Genomic DNA, 13365 nt, shown 5'->3' on the forward strand with positions numbered 1-13365 from the left:
CCACTCCTCTTGAATTCAAGGCTGAGCCATTTGGACAAAGAAAATTGGGGAACAGGAGCAAAGACCCTCACTGACTGTGTTCTTTTTTCCATGAATTAGAAGGAAATTTAAGAAAATCACTTTGATCCTTTTTCTACCTGTAATGTTAAAAACTGTAAATATTTTCTTTCATTGAGAATTCTGGGATACAGTAGCAGACTTGGTAAATTTTAAACCGAAAAATTTATCAGCGTTTATTGCACGGACAAAGCAATAAAAAATTGCATCATCTAAGATGCCAAGAAACCACATGTGATACAGTCCAAGGACATCCAGAATTCCCATGGTCCTATGCAGTAGCTTACAAACTTAACTCTTTTTGGAAAATATGGACATACAATATGCTGACGGGCTTCCCATTCATTTTAAGTGTTTTTAGTGCAAGTCTCTCCACTCTATGATTTCTTGATAAGTTCCTCATAATGAAAATTCTTTTGTCATTATATACCTTGTTAGTTCTGATTCTTGTCCTTGGGAATCAAAGAATATTAGGGTTATAGGTGCAACATCACTCAGTCATTTAGGCAAAAGCCTTTCATTTTAAAGATTAAGAAAGTAATCTCTGAGCACACGAAAAGACAGTGGAGCATTGCACTTTCATCTTCATTTCACTCTTTTGCTTGCAAACTCCTTGAGGGTAGGAATTTGTTTTACTCATCAATAAATCTGCAGTAATACAACGTGGAGAATGCAGTTGGTGCACAAACAATATTGAAAGATTGTAGATATCTCTGTCCAAAGTCACACAGCTGCCAGAACCAGTGGCTCACTGGGATGAGTCTTGTGTCTACTGATCACCCGTTAAGGATGTTGCCTCTGAATTATTCCTCCAAGGGTTTTTTTCCCCCTGGGATGAAGAATAAATATCTGTTGTTTTCCTTATCATGTAAAAAAAGTGTATATGTTTCTGCAAATACTAGCCAAAGCATCCTACTTTAAAACTTCTCTTTAAAATTCCGGGGAGTGTCACCTTGACAACAGGCACAGAATCTTCCAACTGCAATAGAAAATTGACAAAATTTTTTAAACTCAGTGAAAAAAATAAACCCCACTACCAGTAATTAAATAAACAAAATGAAACAATTCCTTGCCATAAATTTCAGAAGGGCAGGGGAATGAGAGGAGAAAATAATAATAATTTTTTAAAAAGGCAAGGAAAGAAGTAGAAGATTGAGGCTTAGCTCTGGGAATCTCGTAACCTAGTCTCCACTCTTTGACAGGTGGTACTGAGGATATCAACAGAATTAAGAAGGAACATCCAAGACTTTACACTAAATAAGTATTCAAGTTGAAGATGAATTATCACCAGGGGAATAGAGTAATTCATGGTAGAGAATATTCAACAAAATCGCAGAAAAGAGTAAAAAACAGGTTCAGTAAAGATCTACTCTTAGTTTAGCTTTCCCCTTCTTACTTGTGCCTTTCATAGCCTCACTATATAGAAATCTATGGCTCAGAAGAAAAGGTAAACAGGTCCAGATAAGAAGATAAAGATGTTGGGGTTTCCAGTTTCATCTCAGACATGTAAATAACCTGGAAGTCATTATTCCTGTTCTTACAACAATAAAACACAGAATTAACTGAAAATAAATGACTTCTTTGACCCATCATAAAATTGAGGTTGCATGGCGAAACTCCACCCCGAAATCTAGAAGACAGGTAAATACAGAAAATCATAGTCAAGATCAGTTTACCCGGAGTGGAAGCCCCTGAAGCCATGCCTGGCATGCACATTGAGAAGTGACCGGGCAAATTGCTGGAGGCTGAGTGTGGACTGCATGAGACTGAAAAACTCTCGGAACTCATAGTCTCAGGGACACCCCACTGCCCCTGCCACGCTTTTGTGATTAGACCTCCAAAAAAACTCTCTCTCCTCTCTCTTCCCAACCTAGGTTCTTAAAGTAAAAACGAAACAAAAATCCTTTCATGTTTCTGACAGGAGGAGAGGAAAAGTATGTATTTTGAAATACGTCCAAAGCGTTCTGTATAACAACACCTACTCCATAGAGGAAAACTTGACCATAGCCTTATCTGACTTGTGAAAAGGGCAACTAAGCAACTCCAGCTACTCTAGCCTTCTTGTCTCTTCTAAAGGAAGGTTGGGCGAAAAAGCTAAGAAATACTTTTAAGTCAGAGACCAGGGAACAGATTAGGGAACAAGACTAAGATATAATTGTAGAGTACAGAATGCTTCTGTAGTCCCGAACCTTATCACCACCTCAGCAGGGCTTCCAAGTAATAACAGTGGGCTGTAACTGAAAGAGAGGCAAGATGCAGACTCCAGTTAAGGAGGGAAGCAGGGTCTAAAGAAGCCCAAAGACATCAGGAGAGACAAAAATAAAAACATTAGACATATTTGAAGCCTCTGGAACCTGAAGCTAAAGTAAACAGTAAACATAAGCAGGATTCCTAGGCAGAACAACAAAACTTCACACTGAAGGTCTACTTACCTCAGTTTCAATTCTCCAATACATTAAGTCCAGCTTTTCACAAAAAATTTTATGACATGTTAAAAAGGCAGGAAAAAAACACAGCCTGAAAAGACAAAGCAAATGTAAGAACTAGGCTCAGATATAACACACACTGTGGAATTGTCAGATAGGAAATTAACTGTGATCAACATGTTAATAGTTCTAATAAAAAAAGTAGACAAAAAACAAATGGGAAGTATAAACAGAGAGATGGAACCCCTGTGAAACTACCAAAAATAACCTGTTAGAAATAAAAAATTATCCAATAAAGATGAAAAATTCATTTGACGAGATTATCAATAAACTGGATTTGGCCCAGGAAAAATTAATGAGCTTGAAGATATGTCAACAGAAACTATTCAAGCTGAAATACAAACAGAAAAGATTTTTAAAAAGAACAAAATTGTGGAACAATTTCAAATGTATAACATGTATAGTTGGAATATCAGAAATAGAAGCAAGAGAAAACAGATCAGAAGAAATATATGAAGTAATAGTGGCTGAGAATTTCCCAAAGTTAATGACAGAAACAACCAGCTACAAAGCCAAGAATCTCAGAAAATACTGAGGGGAATAAATATATATTTAAAATTCTATTGGGCATATTATATTCACATGATACAAAATAAATCACAAAATCAAAAATGAAAAAGGCCAGGGAATGAAACATTAAAAATATTTTAAAATATATGTCTAAATTACCCACAGAGGAAAGAATTTCAAAAGAAATTACAAATATTTTGAAGTAAATGAAAATGAAAATACAGCTTGTCAAAATCTGTGAGATGCAGAAAAAGCAGAGCTTACAGGGAAATTTAAAACATTAAGTACATATATTAAGAAAGACAGAATGTAACATTAATAATTTGAGCTTCCATGTTAGCAAACTAGATAAAGAATAGTTTAATTCTAAATCAAGCAATGTAAATAAAATTAGAGCAGAGATAATGAAACTTAAAATAGAAAACAAAACCCAGAAAATCAGTAACCCAAAAATTGATCTTTGACAAGATCAATAAAATTCATAAACCTCTGACTAGGATAACTAAGATAAACACAGAAAAAAAAAGAGTATCAATAAGGATTCACCCAGTATATAAATGCAAGTAGAACTTCTGGCTCAAGCTGCCAAATTTTAAGGTCTCTGACCTTAAAAGTATTTCTTAGCTTTTTCACCCAACCTTCTTTTAGATGAGACAAGAAGACTAGAGTAGCTGGAGTTGCTTCATTGCCCTTCTCACAAGCCAGATAAGGCTATGGTCAAGTTTTTCCCTAAGGAGTAGGTCTCGTTATAGAGAATGCTTTGGACATATTTCAAAATACATATTTTTCTTCTCCCCCGATTAGAAACATGAGAGGATTTTTCTTTCCTTTTTACTCTGAGAACCTAGGTTGGGAAGGGAGAGTAGAGAGAGTTTACTTGGAGGTCTAATCACAAAAGCGTGGCAGGGGCAGAAGGGGCATCCCTGAGACTATCAGTTCTGAGAGTTTCTCAAGTCTCATGCAGTCCACACTCAGCCTCCAGCGATTTGCCCAATCACCTTCTCAATGTGCATGCCAGTCATGGCTTCAGGGGCTTCCACTGCAGGTAAACTGATCTTGACTATGATTTTCTGTATTAGAAAGGTGAGAAAAAGAAAAACTATTTGACAATTTTTCAAATATACCAAAGCAGATTTTTTTTGGAGATTAGAAAAGAATGGAGTATGCAAAATACACACACTCCTGTCTGGAAGAGTGAATAACCAGGGAAGAGAAGAGCATCCTGCAAGACAGTGTAATAATTAAAGGAAATAAGAAGCATGCAAGTTCAATCAAATACGTTCTGAAAGGTAAAATCCCAATGAAATGAAGAGGAATATTGGAAAGCTATCATCATAAAACAAGGAAGAACAAAACTATTTTTATTACCAAATAAATTGGGATGAAAGGCAAAATGGGCATAGATAAGACTAAGTGATCAAGTAAAAGGAATTTTATAGATTAGAGAATACAAAATAAAAACACAAATTAAATCAATTAGAGAGTATTTAATAGAGAGGATTAGGGCACAGGCTGAGGCATGGAAATAGAAGTGGAATTGGTGGCCCCGAAGTAAAGACAATAACCACATAAACTTTAAAAAAATGTAAAGATATATTTGAGTAGTTTTCTTTGAGATGATTGAATCTGAAGAACAAAAAATATATCACATTGATTTCTAGGAAAAACTGATATAGAAACTGATATGCATTCACCTAGTTTTTAAAGTTTAATATTAAAGTAAAGAAAAAACTTTACAGAAACCCAGGCATAATATGTAAGCAACTGACACGGAATTTTTTCTTTTACTGACTTATACTGAAAAATCTTCTAAGTCAATAGCTAATGTCCCTAGTGAAGGATTTGTAACCTTCCTTTACACAGGCAGCCTCATTATAGTTCAGACATAAAGGCAGTAGTCAGACATTCTCAAATATGAGAGAACTTAGCATTAGGAGACCAAAAAAGTAGTGAAAATAAAGAATTAAAGAAAACAGAAATCATCCCAAAAGTCTGATAAATAAGAAACATTCCTATTAAAAAACAGAAGCAGAACTAGATAACCAAGATGATTTTGGTTATAAAACAGAATGCCACCAATTTATAATACCAGTTTAGACCATTCTATATCACAGACTATAGATACAATAATATAAATAATTTTTCAAAAGAACTGTATTTTTAAACATATAAAACTTTAAATTTATATTTTAAAAGCATAAATAATAAAATTTAGCAATTAGATAAAATAATTTCATCATCTATCCATGGGTAGTGAATAAGATTCAAATATATTTTTAAGTGATTCCATTATTATTTTTATAATTTTACATAGAAATTTACAAGAATCTTTAATGGCTTATATTTTTATAATTATACAATTTTAAAATTTTTTCCTTTTTTAAAATTTGGTCATGTATTCATTATTCACTCAGTCAAAATAATATTGAGTTTTAAACTGAACATAGCATGTATAGTAAAGTCTTCTAACAATTGATGATTTTCAACTATAACACACAACTACAAAACCTCAGTGGCAAACAACAAAAAAGACCTAAGCTTACGAGTCTGTGGGTTCAGCTGATACAGTACAGGTTCAGCTCAGCTGAGCTCAGTGGCTCACCCTGCAGGCAGCTGTGAATTGCCTAAGAGCTCTGCTGACTTCTGCTGGGCTTCCTTATGTCTAGGGGCTGGCTTACTGCTCTGATATAGAAAGGTCTCAACCAGTATGACTGGGCAACTCCATTCTATTCCATGTGTCTCCTTCTTCAGCAGCCCAGCCCAGCCTATTCTTGCGGTGACTGCAGACGGGAAAGAGCAAGCCAGCCTATTCAAGTAAACACTGTTCAAGTTTTCCGTGTGTCATGTTTGCTTATATTCAATTGGCTGCAGCAAATCACAAGGCTGAGGCCATAGTCACAGGGCAGGTCAGACCAGTGTTACATGGTGAAAGGGCCTAAATATAGGGAAAGATAAAGAATGGAGACCAGGGCCAGGCACGGTGGCTCATGCCTGTAATCCCAGTTCTTTGGGAGGCTGAGGCAGGCAGATCGCCTGAGGTCAGGAGTCCAAGACCAGCCTGGTCAATATGATGAAACCTTGTCTCTACTAAAAATACAAAAAGTTAGCCTGGCATGGTGGCGTGCGCCTGTAATCGCAGCTACTCGGGAGGCTGAGGCATGAGAATTGCTTGTACATTAGGGGACAGAGGTTGCAGTGAGCTGAGGTCATGCCACTGCACTCCAGCCTGGACAATAGAGTGAGACTCTGTCTCAAAAACAAAACAAACAAAAAGAGAATTAGGCCATTTAAAACTCTACATATTTTTTTCTCTCACTGAGTACCTATTCATTTAACAAGCTCCTATCTAGCTATCTATCTATATGCATATTGAGATAAATAAAATATTCTCAGAAGATTGAGTAACCTAATATAAGTAATAATTCCTAAACAAATACATTTATATATTGAAGATACATTAAATCATATTTTGACATCCAGGCAACCATTATTTAAAGTCAGAATTGGCCAAGTGTGGTAGCTCACACCTGTACGCCCAGCACTTTGGAAAGCTGAGGCGGGCGGATCACGAGGTCAGGAGTTCGAGACCAGCCTGACCAACATGGTGAAACCTCCTCTCTACTAAAAATACAAAATTAGCAGGGCATGGTGGTGCACGCCTGTAATCCCAGCTACTTGGGAGGCTGAGGCAGGAGAATCACTTGAATCCAGGAGGCAGAGGTTGCAGTGAGCCAAGGTCATGCAATTGCACTCTAGCCTGTGCAACAAGAGTGAAACTCTGTCACAAAAAAATAAAAAATAAAAACAATAAAGTCAGTGTTAAATTCAGATTGGAGATCCAATTCCAGAATTGTGGCAAGAAGGACTCCACAGACCCACTAGTCTTGCCATAATTGGTGAAAGTCTTTTTTTTTTTAAAGAAGTTTGTTGGTTTTTTCTTTTTTCTTTTTAAAAATAATTTCAACTTTTATGTTAGATTGAGAAGGTCCATGTATAGGTGTGCTGTATTAGTCAGGGTTCTCTTAGAAGGACAGAACTAATAGGATATATATATATATATATATATATATATATATATATATATATATAATATATGTAAAGGGGAGTTAATATTAAGTATTAACTCACATGATCACAAGGTCCCACAATAGGCCATCTGCAAGCTGAGAAGCAAGAAGAGCCAATATGAGTCCCAAAACTGAAGAACCTGGAGTCCGATGTTCGAGGGCAGGAAGCATCCAGTATGGGACAAAGATGTAGGCTGGGAGGCTAGGTCTGTCTTGCTGCTTCATATTTTTCTGCCTGCTTTATATTTGCTGGCAGCTGATTAGATGGTGTCCACCCGATTAAGGGTGGGTCTGTCTTTCCCAGCCCATTGACTCAACTATTAATCTCCTTTGGCAACACCCTCACAGACACACCCAGGACCAATATTGCATCCTTTAATCCACTGAAGTTGTAACTCAGTATTAACCATCACATGTGCTATGTGAGTATATTGTGTGATGCTGATGTTTGGGATATAATTGATCCAGTCACCAGGTAGTGATCATAGTACCCAATGGTTAGTTTTTCAATCCTTGCCCCCTCGCTTCTCCCGAGTAGTTCTTAGTTTCTATTGTTGCTATCTATCTTTATGCCACATGTCCCCAATGTTTAGTTCCCACTTATAAGTGAAAACATGTGGTACTTGAAAACCAACAATTTAAAGTTTTTGAAAATTGTCCTAAAGATATATAGCAAATGGAGAAACTTTTTTTTATTTTTTTATTTTATTTTATTTTGTTTTGAGACAGAGTCTTACTCTGTAGCCCAGGATGGAGGGCAGTGGGGAGATTTTGGCTCACTGCAACCTTTGCTTCCCAGGTTCAAGCGATTCTCATGCCTCAGTCTTTCGAGTACCTAGGATTACAGGTGCATGTTGTCACACCCAGCTAATTTTTGTATTTTTTTGTAGAGATGGGGTTTTTCCATGTTAGCCAGGCTGGTCTCGAACTCCTGACCTCAGATGATCTGCCCACCTTGGCCTCCCAAAGTGCTGGGATTACAGGTATGAGCCACTGGGCCCAGCCAAATGAAGAAACATTTATTCAAGGATGTCTACTCATCTTGGTAGGAATAGCAAGAGTCTGACACTGGGTCCACAACCTACTCTTATCTTTCTCACCCCCAGCTTAGCATGACAGAAGCTCCACTCCAGGTAGACGTGATCAAAAAAAAAAAAAAGAAAGAAAAAAGACAGAGTTTCTCTCTCCTCTACCTTCAAACTCCATAGGAAGAGATATGGTATCTTCCTGGGAGAGTCAGGAGCCAGCATTTCTTAGCTCCATCTCCCTCCCTACTTTCAGCCCTCTATTGCAGAAGGTAAATTTCAAGCAAGTTTGGCTAAAGGTTGGGGGCTACCTTGCTTCATCCAGCCCTTATTCGTAGGACAAAGGCTCTACACCAGGTGTGGCAGGCCCAGAATATTGGAACCATAACTGCCTACCTCCCTGATCAATCATAGGGTGGAGGTTGCATATTGGGAGAGACAAGTCAAGAAGACCAACCAGGGGAGTGAGGAGGGCTGCCACCACCAACCAGGAGAGTGAGGAGGGTCTGTGGATGGAAAATTATTAAAAGGAACTTGATTAGGGGTACAGGGATTCTTGCTCAACTTGCTTAGCAAGATTCCTTATTAAAACTGTTCTTGGCAAGCCAGAGGAAGGTAGCAGACTAAGTTTGAGGCCTAGCTGGGAAAAGGGCCTAGAGGAGGGTGACTCAAGTTTGGTCAAGGAATGAGTCCTTATTAGTTGAGAGTAATATCTGGAGACATCAATACCCCACTTTGAAAAATGAATGAATAATAATGCAGAAGAACAACAAAGAAACAGAATGCTTGAATAAGATTGTAAACCAATCACACCTAAGAGATAACTACAGGAATTCCAGCCAACAACAGCAGAATACATGTTCTCAAGCACACATGGAACATTTGCTAGGATAGATCTATGCCATAAAATAAGCCTCAATAAATGTAAAAGGTTTGAAACCATAGTTTCTTCTCCAACCATGATTTTTTTCTCTAATTTTGAAATTGGGCATTAAAAACAGAAAGAAATGAGAGAAAGCCATAAATATGCAGAAATTAACATGTTTCTAAATAATTAATAGGTCAAGAAAATCACAAGAGAAATTAATATGAATATTAATATAAATTAAAATACACAACACACCAAAATTTATGATCTACTGCTAAAATCTTGCTTAGAAGAAATTTGTGGATATAAATATCTTTTTTTAAAAAAAGATCATTAATCAAGAATCTCAATTTTACTGTAAGACATTGGTAGAAGAGCAAATGAAACCAAAAACAAGCAGAATAAGAGACTAAGAAAGATCAGAGAGGAAATTAATGACATGGAGGATAGAAAAACAACAGAGAAAATCCACACTGCCAAAAGTTGGCTTTGAAAAGGTCTTTGAAAAGATCAACAAAATTGGGAAAAAAAAAAAAAACACCTTTTAAGCTCAGCAAGAAAAAATGAGAAACAGCCAAATTATCAAAACCAGGGATAAAAGAGGATATTATTACTGACTTTAAAAGAAAACAAAAAGGATTATAAGGAAATACTTTGGATAATGGAGCACCAACAAATTAGGTAACTTGCATGAAATGGAGAAATTCCTATAAAGATACATACTACCAAAACTAATGCCATCTGAAGACTATACACTGTATGATTCCAATTACAGCCTGTGCTTCAAAATTCATCCCTACCCTGACCCTAAACTATGGCAACCACTGATTTGTTTTACTATCTGTATAGTTTTGCCTCTTGCCCTACAGGTGATTGGTTCCAGGAGCCCTGTGTATACCAAAATCCATGTGCACTTGAGTCTTGCAGTCAGCACTGGAGAACCTGTGTATCTAAAGTCAACCCTCTATATACACAGGTTTCACATCTCATGAATATTGTATTTTCCATCTGTGTTTAGTTGAAAAAATACACACATTAGTGGACCTCTGCAGTTCAAACCCATGTTGTTCAAGGGTCAACTGTATATGACATTCTGGAAAAGGCAAAACTATAGAGACAGTAAAAAATATCAGTGCTTGCTGGGAGTTGGGGTGGGGGTAGGGATGAATTTTGGAGCACAGAGAATTTTTAGGGCCATAAAAATTCTTCGTATGATACTATAATAATGGATACAAGTCATTATACATTGGTCCAAACCCACAGAACATACAATACCAAGAGTGAACCCTAATGTGAACTATGGACTTTGAGTGATTTATAATGTGTCAGTGTAGGATTATCAGTTGTAACAAATATACCAGTCTTTTAGGGGATGTTGACAATGAGACTGGCTATGTGTGAGAGCAGGGGAAATATGGGAAATCTCTGTACCATCCTCCCAATTTTCCTGTGAACCTAAAATTGCTCTAAAAAAAAGTCTTTAAGAAAAGGAAAGAAAATGGCACATCAATATCTCTTATGAATACATACACAAAATTCTCAACCAAATACTAGGAAACCAAATCCAGCAACCCATAAAAATGATTATACATCATAAATGAGAGGGGTTTACATCAGGGATGCAAAGTCAGTTTAACCTTAGAAAATCAATTAATGTAATACACCATTTCAAAGGAAATAAAGGGCAAAAACCACATAATTATCTCAATAGATGCAGAACAAGTTTTGACAAAATCTAATTTCTTTATGATGAAAGCACTCAACCAACTAGAAACACAAGGGAACTTCCTGTACCTGATAAAGAGCATCTACAAAATCCCCCAGCTAAAAACACACAATGGTAAAAGACTGAATGTTTCCCCCTGAGAAAGGAACAAGATGGTGATGTCTACCCTTGCTCCATTAATTCAACATTGTACTGGAGACTATAACCAGGGAAATTAGGCAAGAAAATGAAACTTAAAATGCCAGAATTGGAAAGGAAGAGGTAAAATTATTTCCATTTGTAGATGGCGTGATCTTGCATATAGAAAATCCTAATGAATGCACTGAAAGAAAACTATTAAAACTAATAAGTTCAGAGTGTTTGGATATACAACATCAATATAGAAGAATCAATTCTATTTTCACACACTAGCAATAAATATTTTGAAATGAAATTAAGAAAACAATTTCATTTACAATAGGATACAAAAGAATAAAATGCTTAAAAATATTAAAAGAAGTGCAAAATTTGTATGTTGAAACTATAAAACATGATTGAAAGAAATTAAAGAAAGACATCCCATGTTCATAGATCGGAACATGTAATATTTTTATCATGGTCATATTCCCCAAATTGGTGTACATATTCAATGTGGTCATTAAGAAGCTTAACTTAAAATTCACAACAAAATGCCAGGACAAAGAATAGCCAAAACTATTTTCAAAAAAGAAAAATAAAATTGGAGGACCTACACATCCTGATTTTAAAACATAGTATAAAACCACACTAGTAAAGATAATATGGTGCTGGCATAAGAATAGACATACAGATCAATGGAATCGAAATTAGAGTCCAAAAATAAACGCTCATGCTTAGGGTCAACCGATTTTCATCAAGAGTTTCAAGGCCATTTATACGGGAAACAACTGTCTTTTTAACAAATAGCAATAAACACCTGGATATCTACATGCAAAATAATAAAGTTGGGCTCCTCCCTCACATCATACATAAGATGGATCCCAAATGGACCAAAGACCTAAAAGTACAAGCTAAAACTATAAAGCTCTTAGAAGTAAGCATAGAAGTAAATCTTCATAACTTCAGGTTAGGCAAAGTCTACTGAAAGCATAAATGACAAAAGAAAAAAATAGGTAAATTGGACTTCATTGAAATTAAAAACTTTTGTACTTTGAGGCCATCCAGAAAATGAAAGTACAACCCACAAAATGGGAGAAAATATTTGCAAATTATATATAGAACTTTATACACACACACACACACACACACACACACACACGACTTGTATCTAGAATATATAAAGAACTCTTGCAATTTAACAATGAAAAGGCAACCAATCCAATTAAAATATGGGCAAAGAATCTGAATAGAAATTTCTCCAAAGATGCATAGATAACCAAAAGCATATGAAAAGATGTCCAACATCAATAGTCACCAGGGAAATGCAAGGCAAAAGTCACAATGTCATTCATGCCTACTAGGATGGGTATAATAAAAACGACAGATCTAAGTGTTGAAAAAGATAAAGAGAAATTGGAACCCTCATACGACGCTGGTAAAATGTAAAATGATGCAGCAACTTAGAAAAACATCGGGCACTTCTTCCTCAAAAGGCTAAATACAGAGTTACTATCTGAGCCAGCAATCTCGCTCTTAGGTATATACCCAAGAGGAATAAAAACATGTCCCCACAAAAACATGTACACTAATGTTCATAGTAGCATTATTCATCAGAACAAGAAGTAGGAATAATACAAAGGTCCTTTAACTGATTAATGAATAAACAAAAGGAAGTTTATTCCTACAACAAAATACTATTTGGCAATAGAAAATAATGCAATATTGATGTGTTACAACATGGATGAACCTTGAAAACATAATGCTAAGACAAAAGTCAGTCGCAAAAGACAACATATTGTATAATTCCATTTATATACAATGCTCAGAATCAGCAAATCTATAGACAGAAAGTAGATGAGTGGCTGCCTAGGGAGGCCAGGGTGGGATGATTGGGTGTGATAGCTAATGGCTGTAAGGTTTCTTCTAGAGGTGATGACAATATATAAAAATGTATTGTGGTGGTAGATGCACAACTCTGAATACACTAAGGACCATCAAACCGTACACTTGCAGTGGGTGTGTTTTATGGTATTTGAACTATATCTCAACAAAGCTGTTTTAAAAACAGATTATACCAGTACTGGAAAACAATTTTCTCAACAGAAATCAAACATTTGTAAATTCATGGTCATCAGATTTTCATTTACATTTTAATTACTAAATATAAATCCTAAATCTAAATATATATCCAAACATAAACTTGTTTTTCTCATTTTTATGATTATTTAGCTTATTAATTGTTCAATTTTAATTTATCCCTCTACTGATTGCTGAAAATCACTAAATTTTTTTGAAGAATAATTTTAGATAGATTTTTAAGGTCAATAAATACCTTGGAAAAAGACACTTTCTTTATTTTGAAATGTAATCTTTCACTGTTTCAGAGTAAATACACATCAAGAATGACTCACATGTAAATAATTGCAGATAAAATCCGGGAACTACATTTGAGCAGAGCCAGACTGTCATCCTGTAGTTCTTCAAAGGCTTTGGAACTGCCGCCAGTGGT

General features: G+C 35.9%; 1 long non-coding RNA gene across 1 annotated transcript in view, besides 1 other annotated feature; it reads right to left on the bottom strand.

Moving 5' to 3' along the window:
- The window catches only part of LOC339975 (uncharacterized), a 201531-nt gene that overhangs the window by 70509 nt on the left and 117657 nt on the right, over positions 1-13365 (bottom strand). The gene's annotated exons all lie outside the window — the stretch shown is intronic.
- Positions 2080-2280: a silencer, noted in NCBI's record as "peak5158 fragment used in MPRA reporter construct". NCBI's record gives its function as "represses an SCP1 promoter by STARR-seq MPRAs in K562 erythroleukemia cells {active_cell/tissue: K562}" and the evidence as "EXISTENCE:reporter gene assay evidence [ECO:0000049][PMID:32103011]".

Source organism: Homo sapiens, chromosome 4, assembly GCF_000001405.40.
Source record: "Homo sapiens chromosome 4, GRCh38.p14 Primary Assembly".
Lineage (NCBI taxonomy): Eukaryota > Metazoa > Chordata > Mammalia > Primates > Hominidae > Homo > Homo sapiens.